A 22347-nucleotide genomic window follows, 5' to 3' on the forward strand; every position below is an offset into this window, starting at 1 on the left:
TATACACATAAACAGCAATTATAACATTGACAAATTTCTCACAAGTCATACAGGAAGTAAGAGCTATAGGAATTCTCATGAAATATCTTCTTGTTGGGTAATCTAAGAAGCTTCATAGAAGAGACAGCTTTCAAACAGGTTTAAATACTAGAAAGAACGTAATGAGAGTGAGGTGACAGTGTCTGGTAGAAGAAACAGCATGAGAACTACCCATTTGGCTAGAACAAAACAGAGAGGCCTGTTTTGGAGGAATAGAAGAAAAAAGTTGAAACACACACACACACACACACACACACACACACACACACACACACACACACACGGGAGGGGGGTTAGATCATAAAAGGCCTTGCATACCAGATAAAGGAGCATCTGGCCTATACTTTAATGACATTGAGGGATTCTGATTTATAAATTCCAGACTGCAGACTTATTTGAAAATACAGTAGAAACTTAGAAAGGAAGATTGAGTACTCATTTCACTGTTAATAATAAATAGTACAGTACCTTGTTCAGCAGTGAGGCTCTAGAGTTAGTGGAATTTGATTAAATCTTAGCTTTGCCTCTTTACTTTGGACAAGTTACTTAACTTCTGTCTGCCTTATTTATATCAACTGTGAAATAGGGATACTAACTATACTAGAGTTGTTTAAAATCAAATCAAATAATGCAAGTAAAGCAAAATATTTGGTACCACTTAACCTCTCTATATGACGACCTATACATATAGATACCAATGCACTTATAAACACAAAACTATCATCCATAGATAATCTGTTACTTGCCTTGTCAGTCATGCCAAAAAAATGCCTTAAATTATAAGTTATCACGAAGGATAATTATCCTAATAATCCTGATTACTGTCCTTTGATTAATAACTAGAAATTAATCATCTAGTTATCTAGTTATTATCAAAGGACAGTAATCAGGATCTGGAAAGCCCTTTTGGTAATTGCATTGGGTAGAACCGTACATGTAGAAAATTGGAACTTTTTTTTATGAAACATAGTGCTCAAAATAAAGAATGAATGATAAAGAAATAAATACATAATATAAAAACAAGCCTTTTAATTGACCAAAAGACCTTTCCAAGGTTACCCAGACAATCTCTCTATACCTTGTGAATTCAGAAGAATAGGCCTAAAAAGGTTACCAATCTCTCTCTTTCCTCCAGCTGGGACTACACTGACAACAAGTGAGATTCACAGAATTCCTCTACCATCAGTTTTTAACCTCCAGAGAAACTGATTCTTCTGTTTCCTGTGGTAACCTCTTCTAAGGGTCAATGGCTAAGCATGTCAGAAAATCCTTCCTCCTTGCCAAATTAATTTCTTCTTATCTATCCTATCGTGTTTTTATCTGTTTTGTTAGAAAGTGGCAGGTACTGAAATTTTAAAACTCAGTTTAAAAACAGGTAAAATTTAGTAATTTCCCTCTGGCTTGGATAATTTTCTGATAAGATCCCATGCCATCTTTGTTAAAAGAAGAATAATTTATTTACTCAAAGCTTGAATGAAGATGTAAAGATGTATTTTCCAAAGATGCCCACAAGAAAATCCCCTATCTCAAATGTTCTTCTAGAACCTTGCCTCTCATCCATCAAGAAGTTAAATCTAGTTCCCTTCCTCTTAAATTTGTAGCTTGCTTGTGACCAATAGATAGTGACTCAACTGATGCAGTGTGACTTCCAAAATAAGGCTAGAAAAATCGATTCAGCTTCCACCTTGCTGGTAAGGGACCCTGACCCAGGATGCAAGTAGTCTGATTGGGCTTCCCCACAGCATGGTGGCCTCTGACCAAACTAACCCATGTGGTCAGACCACATGGAGAAGCCCTAACACAACATGCAGACAAAGAGATTCTCAGCCAGCCCATGCTGCTCCAGCCCTCTCTTGTCCTAGCTCCAGTCAGTGGGACCACAACTGTGTGAGTGATCATGAGTCTGAATTATCCAGCCAAGTGCTTCTCAAAATCTTGACCCACAGAAATTATGAGAAATAATGAAATGATTATCGCTGTTTTAAATCATTATGTTTTGAAGTGATTTGTTATGCAGGAATAGTAACTAGAACATCCCCTCCTCTACTAGAACCCTATAGAGATATAGGTCTAGTGCCTATAAAGACAAAATCAATAAGCTGCAATCAAAATGCCTAAAAAGGAACTACTGTTTAATAAAATGTACTTTATGTTTAATGTGTCTGAAGGCACTTTGTAATCTGTGAAGCACTACACAAGTGCTAAATGGTTTAGCTAATGAGACAATGAATCGTACAATAAAAATGCAAAGCATTTCACCAAAAAAAGAACCTTCCTTGTTCAAGACACACCTTTTAATATCTTCCCTGGTACAGCCAGAAAGGGTTAAGTGTTCTTTCTTTTGTGCCTGCAGTACATTTTGCACTTCTAGTACTCCAATTATGAGATCTAATTCTTTATTTTTGCATGCCCATTTCTTCTACTGGACTGTAACCTCCTTGATGACAGGTATTATTTTTCTTTGTGTCTTTAGACTGTAATATAATATCTGTCACATACTAAGCATAAATCCATATTTGTTAAATGAAAAAATGGAGAGGTGTCTACAGGCATGGTCATGCACCAAAAGGCTTTATAAGCATAGGTGAACAATTCTGTTTTTCAAAGACTCATCAGCCTCTGAAAGACAATGTGAAGGAAATCTGTTTTTCCATTTTTAATCTCCATACTGAACAGTTCTCTATTCCAATGAACCATTTCTGGGAAGGCCTTCTTACCATTCCATTTTTTTTCCTTCTGTCTGAAAAGTCTAACCTTCTATCTGAAACTTTGAAGCCCCTAACTTCCTCTTTGATCACACATTCTTTTTAATCTACTTTTTGTGTATGAGTATTTATTTTTGTCAATCTAAAGAGCATGAGCCTTCTTTAACTTGAAATGTTAGAAAATTACTTTACATAAAGAGAAGAAATGCTAAAATTTAATTTTCTTTTTGTCTTTTAAATCACCATACATTTATGTATGTATTTTTTTAACATGAGTAGGTAAAAACAATAAAGATATATTTTCAAGAGGTCAAAAAACCCATTGATATCCTCTTTCGTCATAGAATTTCTTTATGAATGAGTCAAATTTTTTCCACGCTAATTTTATAAAGAAAAAATAGTCACCATTAAACTTTATCTTATTTGAATAGCAATATCATCCTTGTTTAGTATCATTAGTTTTCATCCCATTTGAATTTTTTTGTTTATCTCATTTTTAACTTCTTACCTCACTGGCTAATTTCTGTTTTTACTGGCATTTTCCAGGAATTCCACATTTAGTTTCATTTGCAAATTTTCTTATTAATCTGGTTGATTCATCTTATGGAATATGAATTTAATTGTTTAAATATTAAAACATAGTATTGGTTTCTTCATTCCCTGCTAGTCCCACTAACAAAAAAACGTATCTCATTTAATTTGGTACCTTGTTTCTCGTTGTGGTTTGTATGAAGTTGTGACTGCTGGGAACTTTGCATGAGTCTAATTCTATGAAGTGAAGGAAAAAAAATCTCTTCTACTTATAGATTTGTGCTTAATAGGTAAATTTTTATTTTAAGTACTGTTTTGGATTAATATCACAGTATGCAAGGAGGACAATACTCCTGCCTTCACTTTTAAACTTTAGCAGTGATTTGGTTTTAAAACTTACAGACAATTTAGTCATATAGGCTAAATAGAAAAAATAGACATGCAAAAATCAAGAACATAGTGCTTCCGGATAGGAACTAATAGCAGAAACAAACCACAGTAATCACAACAGCTTCCTTTTATTGAGAATTTACAATATGTTAAGTATTTTCCCAGGTCCTGTTTGTAATAATAGTTAGAGCTGACTATGTACCAGGATGGCTCTGGTGCCTAACAAACATTAACACGATTATTCAACGCTACAGCACAGGACCAAGAGAACTTCTGCATTTTACCCAAGAAAACAAAGGCACCAAGTCAACCAACTTATAAACATTTGAGCCAAGATTACAACCCAGACTATCTGACTCCAGAACTTTAATCCTGTGCTTTTTTCTTCTCATGCATACTTCATAACAATCCTATTGGTTTGTTATTTCAGCCTCATTTTACATATAAAATAAGTCTCAACTGGAATGAAAAATGTACCACAATGCCCACAGCTGCTAAGCGGTAGAGCTCAGATTTGAACCTCTGCAGTTTGATTGCAAGGCCTGTGCATTTCCCACAGTACCAGTGAAAAGATTCAATGAGAGGTGAGAGCAGAGGCCCAACTCCTGCTGGTCCTTCAATATGAGGCAAGCTTTCTGTTCCCAACTCTACTATCCTGATTTGCATCATAGCTACTCCAAATCTGTGTGTTGTTCTCTCCACATGTCAAGGTGGTCAAGGTGTGTGCTTTCTAATAATTGAAATATAGTTGATCTTGATTTAAAAAAAAAAACAACAACAACGTTATTTCCAGAGGATTTGGTAAGTTGTGTCTCATGCAATATTCTGCTCCTAAGTCCTGTACACTGAAGAATTAATGAGTCAAGTCTCAGAATTGGCAGTTAATCATAATCAGTCAGAACAGCTGTAATAAGAACAAGTTGCCCATTTAATTAAAGATATCACTTCTTATCTTATTTTATTAATGACCACTTACTATTTCCCTTATTTCAAGAAGTGAATACAACATTACTGGGATACTCAGAAAATCATTTGCTTGGTATTCTAGGCATCTTTTCTTTGAGTATTGTCTTACTCTCCCTATCCTGCTTTATGAGTTGATAGTGGTATCAGTTAATGTAATTTTTCAATGGATCTCTTCTGCAGTCACCTGTTGAACAGAAAGAAAATACTGTCTTGTCAGGAGTAATTCCGTATAGCTCCTAAGTTCTCATTCATTATCTTGGCAATATTTCCTCTATATACCATCTGAGCTCAGCTAGGCTGTAGAAACCAGCCACCATCCAAAACTTGTCACATAACAATCAGATCTGTCGAAACAATTCTGAAGACTATGAGCTTCACTTTGTCATAATTAAATGATCCCTTTTACCCATTGCTAAAAATATTGCATGCCTCCTGACTTTGTTTAATTGTTCTCAAAGAGCAATTTTGTAGACTGTCATTTCACTTAAAGTTTTTGAAGAGCCAGCTCTCAGGCAGAAACTGAAATGATGAAGCTCAAAAGATTAGCATACAAACCAAAAGAGCAGTAATACTAACGAAGTCAAATACACTGCTCTTGGCTTGATTTCCAGCTGTGAGATTTGAACTCTAAGCTCCCTCTCAAGCTCCACCCTTTCTGAGAATCTTATTCCGGGACAGAACATCAACTTCTTAGCTGCTCAGTTACAGGAGCTTATAGGCCCTGAGGTTAATTTCTGCCTGGATCATGCTCTATGGCTTTACTCAGTCTAAAATCTGATGCCAAAGAATGTTTAATGAGTTCCAAAGAGGCAATCACCAGCACAGAAGTGAATTTAAATTTCATACTAATGCCAGCTAGTGCTTCATGGGCAGAACTGCAGCCAACCAACCTACATTTCATAGCTGTCTCCTCATCATTTGCATTTGGACTTTCTTCCATGCCACTAGCACCTCAATTTGTTTTTAAAGCACATTGTTCCAAAGTACAGGTTTTAATGTTTTATACAGGTATCAGGTTTTGATTTAGTCTGAGAGTTTTCTAGTTTTTTTTACAAAGCATATTAATTATGTGCTTCCCACCCCCAATTCTCTCCACTTTCACTAAGGAAAAATAAGAACACTTAAATGCATAAACTATAATCTGGCATGGAAATATCTAATTTTTCCTGATTACAATAAAAGATGAAATAACTATTATTGTGTTTTATTTTGCCACTGTTGATCACTGTGGTTTAAAGACCACTAATCAATTTCTAAGACCTTCAAATTGTCAAAAAGGGAGTCCAAATGATAGATCAGAGGAAATATACCAAGTGCACATACGCATCACAGCCAGCCAGGTCAGCGCCAGGTTGATGATAATATTCACTATGCTTAAATTGGGCAGTTTTCCTAATTTTCAGAATTCTCGTGGCTTGTGCAATTGGCAAGGTGGTAGCAATGCAAATAAGCTATCTTTATAATACTGACCTGGTACTATTGATTTCTCTCAAAAGGGATTAAATAATGCGGTTTTATATAGTGATCCCATAAGGCATGAGCTGAACCTAAAAATAGTATAATTCTACTACCAAAGATCTTTGGTTTTTATCTAAACCAGTGGAAAGAGTCATATAAGAAATGCATTATTTGAATCATTTATTCATGTTTGTTCATAGACACAATAAATATTTATTGAATGTCATTGTGCTCCAGACATTTTAGGTATCAGATGAGGTGATAAAACCCTTAGAAACAGAATCCATTAACAAGAGGTTACCAATTGCAAGCATAGTCGACTAAACCAGAAAAAAAAAATCAAATAAAGGAAGTTAAGGGATATCTAATTTTGTGCTGGTAAAATATCCTAATACTGCTCCTCAGTAAGTTTAAGAATCAAGGGAGAGTAGTCCACTCTCCTAGGAGCTGCTCAACTAACGCAGAATCTCTCCCTGTCATACCAGCCCTGATCTCACTAGAAGGTTTGGTCTGTTTTACTCAAAGCTGCATCCGTGGTGACTGAGTGAGGTTGGGCACAGAACTGAAGAAAACAAGCATGAATATGTGTCCCTGGGAGTTAGCACAGGGCCTGTTTTCCTGCCAAAGGCTTTCATGGGACAGGTGGAAAGGGAGGGGGCTCCTGGTGTGAGCCAAGACTGTAAGTTTCTACGTGAAGAGTTTGGAAACTACATTTTATTACATACCACCATATGGCTACTCCACTGACATAACTTCAGAATTCTGTGGTACTATATGCACTCAATATCAATGATTCTCTGAGACACATTCACTTAACACTTTGAGCATAATTCTATCAGAGTTATAATTTCTTTTAACATCAGCTTTTAACCAGCTTCACAAAAGAGACCATACTAATTACCACTTTTCCACTGAGTAAGCCCAGGTTTGATTACTTTGAAAATACTTTTACCTTGAGGATTTAAAAAAAAAAAAAACTTTCTTAAAACAAGTATTCAAATCTTCCCTCGTTGAGGACTTAGTGATGAATATTGAACTTTGGAATTATGAAACTTTCATATAGAACAGAGGGAGCCATTTTTAGTTTGGTAATTGGCCATGGATATAAGGAAAATGACTGTAAAAGAAACTTTTGAAATCAACTATAATCCAGTGATAGAGGTTTTTTCTGGAATTCCATAAAAAGGAAAGAAGGATAAGATCCTCATCAAATTGCTTTCAGTCTTCTGTCTTATGAGCGCAGTCCTATTATCGCTCCCAATTCTGTTTAATATAAGGTGATTCATTAATGCCAAGACATACACTATGAAAAAGTGTAAAACCCAAGTGACAGCAAATCTACATTTACTGCTTGATATAAATCCTATGTTATTTGTGTCTTTAATTATATTTTCCTTAATTAAATTACAAACCATTTCGGGTAGCTGGACATGACATTAGTTTGTGAATAAACAATTTGTATGGCACAAATGCTTTGAAAGAAGGAAATTACTCTGATGTAAAAAAGATATCGATAGGACATAGTCTGGGTTCTGAATATAAAATGAAAGATTTCAAATACATTTTTTTTCTTATTGGATATTTTCACTCCATTAAGTTTAAGACATAATTGGATTTTCCCCGAAAATAATCAAGCTCAAAAATCAAAATACCTTTTCACATGGGTTTTGCATAATTCAAGAATCTTGTTCATATATTTCTTTAGAAAGTTCTGTGTAAGCATATTCATGCTGCTATTATTCAACACATATTTGTCAAGCATTTACTACATACATGGAGTACTAAGTACTACTAAAATTGTAAAGATGAGCTAGTGGTGAAACCTATTTTTAAGGCATGGTTGTGGGAGAGATAAGAAATGCACATAAATAGCCAAATACAAGCAAGAAAACAGTTTTTCAACAATATAAAAGCAGTTTCTGGTTAAATGATGCCAATGTTCAGAGAAGAAGAAATGATCTTCACCCAAGTTCAGAGGAGTGGGGGAGTTTTTCAGCTGAGATAGCACTGAAGCTAAGCCTTGGCAAACAGGTAGGATTTACATACATGGAGTTCAGGGAAGGGAAATCTAAGTAGAGGGAAAAGGTGTCCAAGCTATAGAGGCAAGGCACTATTCTAAACAGTGGTGATATTAAAGAGACCATAACAGGCACAAAGTCGTGTTTTCATGGAGCTTATGTTTTCGGGAGGAAGCAAGATAAATGTAATTAGTAGGTAAATCATATGGTATATTAGAAGGTAATAAGCACGTGGAGAAAAGGAAATCTAGGAAAGGGAGATGGGGAATGTGGTTTCCATTAGAAATAAGGTAATCAGCATAGGCCACAAAACAAAGACGACATTTAAACATGTCAATGAGAAAGAAAGCCCAAAGATCACACTGGAAAGAGCTGAAGCATAAGGGGAGCGTTGGTTGATGAAATTGTTGGCAGAATAAGGATAGATTGCAGAGGGCCTCAAATGCCAAGCTAGGGAGTTTGGATTTTATTTTATAGGCACTGGGGAGATGTTAAAGATTTTTGAGGAAAGATTAAAAAAGACCTGGACTGTGCTTTATATAGATGATGCTGGCAGATAGTTTAAAGGGAAGAGAGAGAGGAAGGAGGCAGGGAGAACTCCTGCTACTTCCTCCAAAGAAAAATTTGATTTATATAAACAATTTTTCTTCATTCATTTAAGAAATACATATTGAGAATTTTTTTTCATACTTCAAGTTCTGGGATACATGTGCAGAACACGGAGGCTTGTTATATAGGTATACACGTGCCATGGTGGTTTGCTGCACCCATCAACCTGTCATCTACATTAGGTATTTCTCCTAATGCTATCCCTCCTCTAGCCCCCAACCCCGACAGGCCCTGGTATGTGATGTTCCCCTCCCCATCTCCATGTGTTTTCACTGTTCATCTCCCACTTATGAATGAGAATATGCAGTGTTTGGTTTTCTGTTCTTGTGTTAGTTTGCTGAGAATGATGGTTTCCAGCTTCATATATGTCCTGGCAGAAGATATGAACTCACCCTTTTTTACGGCTGGATAGTATTCCATGGTGTATATGTGCCATATTTTCTTTAACCAGTCTATCATTGATGGGTATTTGGGTTGGTTCCAAGTCTTTGCTATTGTGAACAGTGCTGCAATAAACATATGTGTGTACGTGTGCATGTGTCTTTATGGTAGAATGATTTATACTCCTTTGGGTATATACCCAGTAATGGGATTGCTGGGTCAAATGGTATTTCTGGTTCTAGATCCTTGAGGAATCACCACACTGTCTTCCACAATGGTTGAACTAACGAATTGACAGCAATTTTTATATGCCAAGACTGCTCCTGTCTTACAAGATAACTTCTGGAAACAAAACAGGCACTTCTCTTTCCAGATCCTGCATTCTAGTAGGGGGAGTCAGACAATACACATAACAAAAAACACAAGCAAATACATTAGGAAGATAAACTGTGGAGGGCAGCAGTGTTTCCTCTGGAGAACAGATATGGTGGGCTAGAGAAATCATAGGAATGTTGGGAGAATTGTGAGGCTGGAGGGCAGGTTTAGTATTAAATTTTCGCTCTTGCAAAGCAATATTCACACTTCTAAAGAAGTGTTATAAAGGTTTCTATAATATGCTGATATACGACAGATATAATGAAAAACAAGAAAGCACTTAAATTTTACATCAATATAATCCAATGGCTAAAGAAACACAAAAGTATTTCCAAATCTCACATCTTGTCTATATGAATAATGATGTATGTTACTCATAAGTTAGAGAGAAATCCTAAGAGTAAATAATGTTAAAGATTTGTCTCTCTAGACAGAACACAGACAAATCTAACCCATGGGAGAAATACACTGGACTTTAAATGATAGAGAAAAAGAATATGCTTCTAGAGGTCTTGATTCCCATAAGAAATGAGATAACCACTTGTTCCCTGATATATAATGGCTAAGTACAAAACTTTGTAAAAAGTTTCAGAAAATTAATGATTACGTCAACTTTAATTTCAAGGCATCATTGTTGTTCTAATGACAAAGTATTTCCCCAAAAGCACTGGTTAGAAATTTTTCAATATTTTCCAGCAAAATAATTACAGGCCAGATCAATACACATATTGTAATGATTTTCATCCATGAAACTTTCACATTATTCCTAAAATTAGACTTGGAAATGGACAAACACGTTCTTGTAATTGTATTGTTTAGAGAAGTCTTTTGACTCACGCTCAGCAAAAGGACGACAGAAGTCCAGCAAACCTCACACGAATGACCTAATTGGCCCTCTCAAGCTTCCAAATTTAGATTACTTTATTCATTTAGCAATTACAATTTAATGCTTCCCTACTGCAATGAAATATGATGGCTACTACTCAATTGTGGTATCACAGAAAGATTGCCCACCTTAGGAACAGACTGCATGATACCAAGTAATATATTTTAACAGCAACAAAGGGAATTTCTGCTTTTGATAATGGTGAAGTAATTCACAACAGAACAATTTCCTGGAGATAACAACTATCAACTCAGGACAAACTATAATATATGATTATCTGGAAGCACTGGGAAACAACCAAAAGTACACAGAAACTAGAAAAAAGGTAATGGCACCAGGTAAGTATCCCAGTGTTCTAATTTTTTGCCACAGGGCAGACACACGTGTGGCACCATGCAGAATGGCTTGAAGTTGCATAGAAGTTCTATTGTTTTATGGCTTGAACAATGAGAGATCAGACTTATAGTCTACTACAGACAGTAGAAAGTAGAGGAGGAAATCCTGTGTCATAACCCTTCAATCAAAGATCACCAGAAAACAAGGAAGAACATATACCACAGGGAAACAAGGTGAGTCTGATATATGCTAGAATTTGGGCTTGTGTTATGTTCTTTTGGGGACTCTTCAAGGAAGCAGTGTTTTGCTCTGAATTCAATGGTAAGAAGTGGAAGTAATTCTGTGGTTGGGTATCTTACTATTTCTTATCTAAAGACTGCTAAAGAAGTAGCAGTTGCTTATATCAGCAGCAGAGGGGAAGTTTAGTCATTCTTGTGGATTGGATAATGTTCTTGATTTTGTCTGTTTTTGAACATGATGATAGAATGATCTTTTTGTCTTGATTCATCATGGTCACAGAGGCTGGGCTTGGTGGCTCATGCCTGTAATCCCAGCACTTTGGGAGGCCGAGGTAGGTGGATCACCTGAGGTCAGGAGTTCGAGACCACCCTGACCAACAAGGTGAAACCCCGTCACTACTAAATATACAAAAATCAGCTGGGCATGGTGGTGTGCACCTGTAATCCCAGCTACTTGGGAGGCTGAGGCAGGAGAACTGCTTGAACCCGGGAGGCAGAGGTTGCAGTGAGCCAAGGTGGCACTGCTGCACTCCAGCCTGGGCAACAGAGCAGGACTCCATCTCAAAAAAATAAAATCTCATCATAGTCACAGAAAGACCCTGTCTAACAAATGTATTCTGATAATTTTTTTAGTGTGTAATGGAATACCACAGCCTATTGTGACTGCCTGGCTAACTTCTAACAACATCAAGGCCCACCTGTTAATGCCAGGCTAGCTCCCAGCTGCCAAGGTCTCCTTTTCTCTTTCTTGTCTGGAAAGGAAAGAGCCACAGAGGGCAGCCTCAAATTCTGCATTTAAATTCTGTCCAAATATCTGGCTAAGTCCTGAACTACCTCTGTCTATGCAGAGTCCAGGCAGCCTGGTTAAAGTTAAAAAGGCTCAAATATTTTAGCTGCTGCCTACTATAGATAAGACAGAATTTAGACATGCCTGCTTTTAAACATGTCACTCATTTAGAAATTTCAGGGATTAACCACCTGCTAAAACAAAAAATAAACATTTTTCAGAAGACACAACAGAAAGCAAAATAATATCCAGGACAGAATGAGACATATGAAGAAACAAGAAAATATCACTCATACTCAAGAATAAAAGAAATCAATGAGAATGACCACAAGATGACCAGTATGATGGAATTAGTTAACAGTTATTTTAAGGCAGCTATTATAATTATGATCAAGGACATAAAGGAAAATAGTAATCAATAAACAGACAGGAAATCTCTGAAGAAAAATACAAATGAAAATATAATAGAAATTCTAAGAGTAAAAAATTTAGTATCTGAAAAAAAAATTTGCTAGCTGGGCTTTGTAGCAGATAATAGACCAGATAATCAGTAAATTCGAAATAAGATTAATAAAAACCATCCAACTTTAAGTCTTAAAAAAATCAAAGAAATAAACAGCACCTCTGTGACCTGTGAGACAATATTAAAGATATGACATATGGATCACTGGATTCATAAGAGGGGAAGAGAGAAAGAATGTGGCAGAAAAAATATTTAAATACATAATAGCCAAAAATTTCCTGAATTTGTTAAGAGACATACATTTACAGGTTCCAGTATCTCAGGAAACTGCAGGAAGAGTTTCTAAAAATTCAAATCAAACTAACTGATTACAACTAGTTACGGATTTCTTTGTTCTTTCTTCACTCCCACTGCTTCACTTAACTAGCAAAAAAAAAAAAAATCAAATCATAACCAATTCAATCTCAACTTTTTGAAAACGATAAATAAGAGAAAACTTCAACACAGAGAAAAAGACATATTATACAGAGGGAAGTATGGTACAAATGATGGCTAAATTCTCCTCAGAGACAATGGAGGCCAGAAAAGTCGGGTGATAGAAAAAACTCTATACTGAGAATTTTATACCTAGTAAAAGTATCCTTCAAGACTGAAGGTGAAATAAAGACTAAGTAAAAATCATCACTTGTGGTATACAGACCCACACTTTAAAATATGGTAAAGGAATTTCTTCAGCCAGAGAAAACTGATATCTGATGGAAACTTGCATATTTAGGAAGAAATGAGCACAAGAAATGGTACATATATATATAAATATTAAAACTGGCCTGTAATCCCAGCACTTTGGGAGGCTGAGGCAGGTGGATCGCTTGAGCCCAGGAGTTCGGGACCAGCCTGGGCAACATAGCAAAACCCTGCTATCTACAAAAAAATTAGCTGGGCATGGTGGTTCATGCCTGTGGTCCCAGCTACTAGGGAGGCTGAGGTGGGAGGATCACTTGCACCCAGGAGATTGAGGCTGCAGTGAGCCATGATCGTACCACTGCACTCCAGCCTGGGCAGCAGAGCCAGACCCTGTCTCAAATAAATAAATAAATAAATAAATAAATAAATAAATAAATGCTGAAAGTTAGTAACAAAACAGTTATTAATAAGCCCAAGTAAAACAAATTACGCTTTAAATGTCCATTATGATAAACATGGACTCACTGACATTTCCACATTAAGTTAAAATGATTTTGCAGAGTATAGCCTGTACACATCAAAATTCTTAGAGGCTCTAAAACTGTATCAAGTTGAGCAGCAAGTATTAGCTTTAAGGACATTGCTTGTTAGCATCAGCCAATTAGATATTCTGGACACAAATAGGGAACACACTTGGGCAATCAATATAAAAAGCATCTCTTTTGTGAAATTAATTGGAAAATTAGATTTTGTGCCTAAGTATAAATTCTAAACGATTCACTAAAATGGATCAAAACAGCTTTCAAACTAACCACTTCTGTTGACTAAGTCAGCTTCCTTCACCACTTGCATCTTAATTTTAAAACAAATTAAAAGACACCAGAGAATGAAGGCAAATATCCTGATATTTCAGGTCTGCTTCCTGAGGAAGTCCTTTTATATTTTAGTTACCAAGTTATCTGCTTTAATGTCCCTCATTGCTTTAGCATGCCTTTTTTCACCTTGACGGATGGTCTCTATTATGAAAAATGTATTATAAAGCTCGGAATTTGCTTTCATATGCACTGAAATTCAACCTTTGCAGGCCAAAGTAATATCATTTACACTATGTTCCACATATTATTACTTAAGTTAGCAGAGCGTTTGAAGATGGGAAGTTTAAAAATATGCTTTTCTGAAAGGGTAAGAATTTATCAGAACGGGAGAGACACTAAATGATCCTGAGCTCAAGAATAACTTTTTGTAAGTATGTACGGTGGAAAAAAACACTAGACAGAAATTAGGAGTCTTGGATTCTAGTTTGGCCTCAGTGGTAACTATGGCAGCTTAGGAAAATCATTTGGTTTCATTTGTTTTTGGAAACATACGTACTCGAGTATTTTGAATATTCATTCATATAACGCAGTGGTTTAATGTATATTTGCAATGGGAAAGCTGAATTCTATGAAAATTTTTTTGATTTCACTTTTAAGCATGTTTCAAAGAGTCTATGGGCTTAAATACGTGTTTCATTTAATGTAATAAAAGCACCCAGAATATGTGAAAACAAAAATCATGATTTTGGGGCCAGGTGTGTCTTCAAGGAAAAAGGCTTGTGTATCTACACAGCAGACAAATACCTCTGAAAGTCTGATCCACAAACAGCATGAAGAAATTCAACTGGTGATTTGACAAAATAATTTCAGGCACCAGTTGATGGTATGGTTGGTGGAACTTGTAACTCCTGATTCTGCCAAAAATGTAAGTTCATATGCCAAAGGCATATAGTTTGATGTAAAATTTGGAAGTATAGCTGCTTTTGTTTGATCACCCAAATAAGTATGTTCCCCTATAGAACACCCCAGCTCAATAAACAAATTTGCCATTAGCAAAAATTCAAGCACTGTCAAAATTGTGTTGCTTCCTCCTATTGCCAAAGCTTTTGCACTGTGGGTGCAAGAGGGTTGTAGCTTTTTATTTTATTAAATAAATATTTCCTTTTTATTTATTACCCCAAACACCATTATTAGTCTGCATCATAATTTTAAGAGTGTCAGAAACAACCAGAATCCATGTGAGAATTCTCCGGGATACTATAGGAAGAATGTAACTTCGAGGTCACTTACACTCAGTGTCAGGCACAATTCACATTTCTCAAACAAGATATATATCAGGTGGTGCTTGCCAGATAATGGAGGATGTGAGAAGCAGAGCTCAACTACCCCTGAAGGAGAGCACTGGCATGAGTCAGGCAGGAGATCAGAGCTCTAGCCAGCCAAGTGGGGATCCAAGTCTGGGATCCATTCATGTAAGCATAAATTATTCCCCACTGTAATTACTGCAAAGACTGAAGTGGTTCTATCATTGCAAAAGTAAACTCAAGCATCAGTCTGGTAATATTAATGATGTGGATTAATAACAACACACTGTAAATAACTGTTTATTCTGTCATTTATTAATATAATATATTTAGTTATTTTTTTTTCTCTCTGGAGGCAATTGGGACTATAGGAGCAGCTGCAACAGCAGCATTTGCCATTTTGCCAGTTGTTCAGAGAATGAACCGATTAGTGGGAATGGGCAGCAATACACGCATTTGGCAGCTATGTTTGCACAAAATGAGGGTACTTTTTAAAATAAGACACTTTGATGCGACATCATGGTACCTAAGAGTATTGTGGAAGAATCTGACATCAAATACTTTCTAACAGACAACCATGGGATTCCTGTCCTCTACAATCCCAACTCAGCCCTTCAATCCTGCTGAGATCTTCAATATGCTGATCTCTCATCACACTCTTGTCACCTCATTTCTTACCCACCCAGCTTGAATTCTCCCATTTATCAGTGCAGTCACTTTAACGTATTCACCTTTATTTTTTTGCTCCTCTTGCTTCATCATTCACACAACCTTGATTAAATCCAGCTCTGTCGTCTTATCTTACCAACATTGCTCAAAGTGGCTAGAGAAAAATGACCACTGATTTCAAGTGAGCCCTTAAAGCTACCTGCCAATTATTCTGTAGACCACTCCCTTTCCCACTTTCCTAGACTTGAGAACTTCCCATTTCTCCTTAAAGTCTCTAATACATCTCCCACCATAATCTTGCTTCCTTCTTCACAGAGAAATTGCTGCAATCAGAAGAGAACTTTTAGAAGTTCCCACCACCAAATCTCTCCACCTAACTCCTTGTTTGCCCATAAGTGCAACCTTGTTCCTGTTAATATGAATGAATAGACCACATTCCTGGAAGAGGACAGCCTCTCTGTTTGTGCTCTGCATCTTATGCTCTAAGACCTACTTAAAGACATTGAAATCTCCCCTCCTCCCTCCCTCCCTCCTTCTCCCTCCTTCTCTCTCTCTCTCTCTCTCTCCATAATCATCAATTTCCTCTTCTCTCTTAAATCATTCTCTTTAACACACAAGCATGCTAAAATTTTTCATTTAGCTTAAAAAAATTCCACCTCTTGGCCCTCTTTCCTCTCTGGCTCCTGCCTTATTTCTCAAATATTTCTTCTTTTTATGGTAAAAAACAAAAAAATAAAGCAAAATAAAACTTAAAAGAATTATCTGAATTCTCTATCTCCATTTCCGTTTTATTATCTTGAACTCTCAATGTCACTAAAGCCAATGGACATTAGTGAGTCCTCATCTTATATGACTTAACAGCTGCACCTGATACAGTTGATCATTCTCTCTTTGAAGCACTTCTTCATTGGCTTTGAGGACACCACTCTCTCTCTTCTTCCTCCTCTCATTCTGGTGTGACTTCTTGGTCTCTTTTGCATATTCCTTCTTATCTCCTCAACTATTAAATACACCCTGGAGTTTAGTACAGAAAGTGTTCTTTTCTCTCCACACTCAGTCCTTAGATGATGCCATTCATCTCAGGGCTTTAAACACTATAATAAGCAGTTGACTCCCAAACGTGCATTTTACCATAGAGTTTGCTCCTGAATTCCAGAACGATACACCCAGCTGCCTACTTGACCAGTACTCTTGGATGACAAATAAGCATGGCAAACAGAGCATATTCTATCAAAGGTTTCTGTACCTTTCCACCCCACAGATAGCTCTCTCACTTCTCTTAACACTTGACTTAGTCATCTTAGTATTGCCTGCTCTGGCCTCCCTTCTAAAAATCTCTTTCCCCCTTCCTCTGATTTGGGACATTTAACGGTCCTTTTTCCTACTTATTTTATTTTCCTCTTAGTAGTGATCACCACCTAACATTATAAATATTACATAAATATGTATATATTTTTACTGAGTTATCTTGTATCCTATTGGTCTCCCTCATACAAGACAGGGTTTTTTTTTCTGTTTTATTATATATCCCAAGCACCTGGAACAGTGCCTAAACTATAGCAGGCATTCAATACGTACTTGTAGTACGAATGAAGTATGCTAGAAATAGAATGCATGGTTTCCATTTAAAAATCAAACAAACTTCAAAGCCTCAAATTCACAGAATTGAGTGCACTTATGATTATTCTGATTTCCATTTTTCAGGACTTCTCTTTGATTAGTCTCCACACTTCAATGTGTTTGCATGTGTTTAGATGTACTTCAGAAAAATGATATATGTATCAAAGTTCTTTCCATATTGTGAACTAGGTACATATCACATGCACATCTGTGTGAGAAGAAACAAACAGCTTCATGACCACAGAGCTTGCCACATGAAGCCTCTCCATCACAAAAGGGTCTCATTCTTTTTGCTCTACACATTGCCTCATATCTGTGTTGACTAGGCCACCATTTTTTTGGGCAAACAATGCTCCTTATGCATCTCAGACAATACAAATTCTTCTCCTTGAAGTATCCTATTCTCTTCTACAATTGAAAGAGTAATATTCATTCTTCAAAATCTTATGTAGGTTCCTCCACACCTTAAGTTACACCCAGGTAGAGTGATTTATTCTTTCCCATATATTCGCATTACTCTGGTAGTTAATCTGTCACATTCAAATAATTTGTTTACACGTCTATCTCCCACACTAAATTATGAGCTTCTTATGGGCCTAAATATATCTTTATCTTCAGCATCGAACCAAAATCTGGCACATAGTAGATATTGAATCTTTGCTTAAGGCACTCATCCACAAAGTGATGACTTCGTGGAATGCAAATACAACTCTACCTATATAAACATATTTTTGGGAAAATCACTGTCAGAAATACATTTTTAAAGCGATTAATGTCAATAAAATAACAAAATAGTCTCCATATTAAGTAATCAAGTCTACCAGAGTCAGAAATAATAAAAAAAAACTATAATTATTTTAATATTACACTAGAACTTCAAATTTGAACATCTGGCCTACCTAAAATTATTTGTATAGAAATATAAATGAATTGCTTTATTTTTAAATTATAAATTTGTTTCTAGATTAAGACACATGGCACTAAGATGCTTACATAATCCTCATTTAAACCCAAGAAAACAGCTAAAAGTAATGAAATCACAAATAATTTTTTTTCACAGCATGGTTGGGATATGCCTTGTATTAAATCTTTAAAATTTGTGTAACCAAAAGGAGAATTTTTAAAAGTTAATTAGAATCTCTTATTTTCTCTAGATGTGAATGTTAAAATGGCAAATTTAATGTGACAATGTTCATTTCAATGTAAGAATTTGAATGTCATGTTGTTAAAACCATTAGTTGTATTAAAGAATGATGCTAATATAAAGTTGTGAGCAAAAATTGTTAATTAGAAAAAAATACCTATTATTTTATTTCATATTGCTATAATGAAATAACATGCAGATTAATAGTTGAGTATCTTAATGTGTAAGTTTTATGTGATTCTTTTATCACACATTTTCCCTATTTTCTAAGGCAGGTTTCTCAATTTTATTTTCAAGTTAGTTCTTTAAGAAAATAAAGGAGGCTGGGGATGGTGGCTCACACCTGTAATCCCAGCACTTTGGGAGGCCAAGTGGGCGGATCATGAGGTCAGCACTTCGAGACCAGCCCGGCCAATATGTCTCTACTAAAAATACAAAAATTAGCCGAGCGTGGTGGCATGTGCCTGTAATCCCAGCTACTCAGGAGGCTGAGGCAGAAGAATTGCTTGAACCCTGAAAGGTGGAGGTTGCAGCGAGCCAAGATCATGCCACTGCACTCCAGCCTGGGCAACAGAGCGAGACTCCGTCTCAAAAAAAAAATAAAATAAACAAATAAGGAAAGAAAATAAAGGAGATTGCTTTCAACAGTTTCTCTGAGAGCACCTGCCTTTTATAACCTGTATTTTTTTCATTATATAATATTTTTAAGGCTACATTGTCAGCTGGAGTGTAACAATGGTGTAACAGTTCCTGTATTAAAATTTCCACCCTGATAAAACAAAAACCACCAGGTAATGACAGTTCTTAGAGTCCTACAACTGGACTTTAATTCTCTCTTTTTTTTTTTTTTTTTTGAGATGAAGTTTTGCTCTTGTTGCCCAGGCTGGAGTGCAATGGTGTGATCCCAGCTCACTTGAACCTCCACCTCCTGGGTTCGAGCGATTCTCCTGCCTCAGCCTCCCGAGTAGCTGGGGTTACAGATATGCACCACCGTACCTGGCTAATTTTTGTATTTTTAGTAGAGATGGGGTTCCTTCTCTATCTTAGCTAACGAAGTAACCCCCTTTCCTAGCAAATTCTGACATTAACCTTCCTTGACAATCTTATGGAGAAGTGGCCTAAATTTGTTTTATTAGAAGAAGAAAGAGATTATGTGGGACACAAGTTTCCTCTTTTGCTTTGTATGTCCCCAGGAATATTTTATCCCGATATGTAAGTGTGTGTGCAAGAAACATAAGGTATTCATTAGCTTGTCCTCTTGAACTCAGCTGGCAGGAAGTCAAACAAACTGAAATCCTCAGTGTCTACTTCCAAGAGGTACCTGAGGCAAACACCTAAAAGATTATATTGGAAAAACGAGATTACCTCTCTACTCTCACCAAGGAGCCAGGAGGAACTCCAGTAGCCACAGCGTCTGTTTATTTGTTGAATGCCTACAATGTGCCAAGCTATAGGAGATAATTTCTCATCCCCACCTCTAATGTCAAAACATTCTTACCAAGAATTATTATAATTTTCATCTTACAGAAGAGGAAAATGAGATGGAAAAACCTAAGGAAGCTGTCCAACTTTTATATGGTTAATGTGGGCCAGAGGCCAGACTCAATTCTGGTCTATCCTGTTACACCTCATTAGCAGTCAGTGTATATAATAGAAGTTGGTCTGGGAAGAGGTAAGATATTAACTTGTAGTAAGCGTCATTTCCCTCTCTTTCCCAGGACATGCAAGGCATGGGTGACTTGAAGAGAGAAATGATTCCATTCCATAGCTTGACAAAAGAAATAACCTTCCATAGTCATAATTTGTCTCTGAGTTATTAGCCAGGCTGAAGTCTACAAAATTGACCATAACTTCATAAAAAGGTTCTCTGTAATAGTGTTTCCCAAACATCAATGAAGAATTGAACCATCTGGGGGTCTTGTTAAAATATGTAGATTCTGATTTTTTTTTTTTTTTTTGAGACAGAGTCTTGCTCTGTCCCCCAGGCTGGAGTGTTGTGGTGTGATTTCAGCTCACTGCAACCTCTGCCTCCTGTGTTCAAACAATTCTCCTGCCTCAGCCTCCTGAGTAGCTGAGATTACAGGAGCCCATCATCATACCTGGCTAATTTTTAGTAAAGATGGGGTTTCACCATGTTAGCCATGCTGGTCTCGAACTCCTGACCTTAGATGATCCACTTACCTTGGCCTCCCAAAGAGCTGGGATTACAGGTGTGAGCCATCATGCCTCACCTAGATTCAGATTCTGTAAGGTAGGTTGAGGCCCGAAATTCTGCTTGTAACAACCTCTTAGGCAATGCTGATGCTGGTCTATAGGCCACATGCACAGAACAGTGAAGCTCCAGGCAAAGATAAGACATCTCTCCTCACCTCCTCATTGCAATAGTGGCTGGAGTGTGAAGGGGCACCAATGAGGAGCTCTCCACATGAATTTGGGCAAAAAATACTGACATGAGGCATGGACTCTATCCGGAATTAATTTTTCCTGTATCAAATTATTTAGCCCAATTTTCTTTCATTGCTCACATTTGATACTTCATAGTCTCTTAGAGAAAAATATTTCTGATTTCTAGTAAAATTAACTTTTGTTTTCAGCTTCAGTAAAATGGAGACTGCCAAGAACAAGTAGAGATTTTTGGCCGGGCATGGTGGCTGGCACCTGTAATCCCAGCACTTTGGGAGGATGAGGCAGGCAGATCACCTGGGGTCAGGAGTTCAAGACCATCCTGGCTAACATGGTAAAACCCCATCCCTACTAAAAATACAAAATTAGCCGGGCGTGGTGGTGCACACCTGTAATCCCAGTTACTCAGGAGGCTGAGGCAAGAGAATTGCTTTAACCTGGGAGGCGGAGGTTGCAGTGAGCTGACATTGCACCACTGCACTCCAGCCTGGGCAACAGAGTGAGACTCCACCAAAACAAAACAAACCAAACAAACAAAAAACAAAGAAAAGAAAAAAAAACAAAAAACAACTAAATAGAAATTTTGAATCATTTAATTTCAAAAACTCACATTACATTCTTCCTTTCGCTATGTGAACAAGAAGAGGATCATCTCAAATCATAACTAAAATATACAGGAACTATGTCCTACAACCTCTATTAGGTAATGGACATAGGAAGATAGTCAAGAAAATGACTCCGTTTTGGGAAAGTATAGCTAGTGAGAGAAACAGAATTGTAACTAGAAAAGCATAATAAATTATGTGGTATGAATATGTGTGAACAGTTTTGGGGAACCACCTATTTTTCCTAGGATTACTATCCAGGCAGTGACCTTCAAAGATACAGAACACCTGTGTCTATAACTAGCATTCTCTTAGAAGAAAACATTCCAGACAGTGAAAAAAATGGGTAAATACCCATGGGCATAAAAGAACACAGTTTAGTTTGGTACACTGGCTAGAATGGTTGTTGAGACAAGTATGAAAAAACTTCTAGCCTTCTTCAATAGAACTTAATTCAGGCAATCTCAGACATAGAGCATTCTATAGCTTGGGGAGAGAGAAACACGAGAAATGAACAACTGATAACTTTATCAAAGGCCTGCCAGTCACTGGTCATGGTTAAATGTGTTCTTTCAGGTTCAGGGGATATGTACTACTAATAGATATAGTAATAGTTTAATACCAATTTCTTTGCTCCTGACTTAGATAAATGGAATTAGCAAATACTTTTCCTAAACTCTAATGAATCAATCATAAAAGAAAGACTTATGATTCCCAGAGTAGCAACTATATATTAGGAAATAAAAGTTACCATCTGCAGCACCATACAAAGGCTTGCATGCACAATGAGACTGAGTTATTGTAACCTGGGGATCCGCACAGAACAGATTTTCATATACTACTAGCCAATCCCAGCTTCTTTTCACGTTTTCACTTTTGAAATAAAATAGGGGTAGAAATATTTTATTTTCTGAAGCGTT

The 22347-nt window shown here is 36.7% G+C and overlaps 1 protein-coding gene across 14 annotated transcripts in view; it reads right to left on the reverse strand.

Moving 5' to 3' along the window:
• MAGI2 (membrane associated guanylate kinase, WW and PDZ domain containing 2) overlaps positions 1 to 22347 on the reverse strand; it is a 1436613-nt gene that overhangs the window by 724052 nt on the left and 690214 nt on the right. For 2 of the 14 annotated variants that reach the window (XM_017012847.3, XM_011516720.4), the window contains exon 1: positions 1 to 21085. This exon is cut by the window's left edge. The exons of the other annotated variants lie outside the window; for them this stretch is intronic. The gene's annotated coding sequence lies outside the window, so the exon portion shown is untranslated. Of the gene's footprint in view, positions 21086 to 22347 lie in introns of those variants that run through there. 14 annotated transcript variants of the gene reach the window in all.

Source organism: Homo sapiens, chromosome 7 (assembly GCF_000001405.40).
Source record: "Homo sapiens chromosome 7, GRCh38.p14 Primary Assembly".
In the NCBI taxonomy this organism is placed as follows: Eukaryota; Metazoa; Chordata; class Mammalia; order Primates; family Hominidae; genus Homo; species Homo sapiens.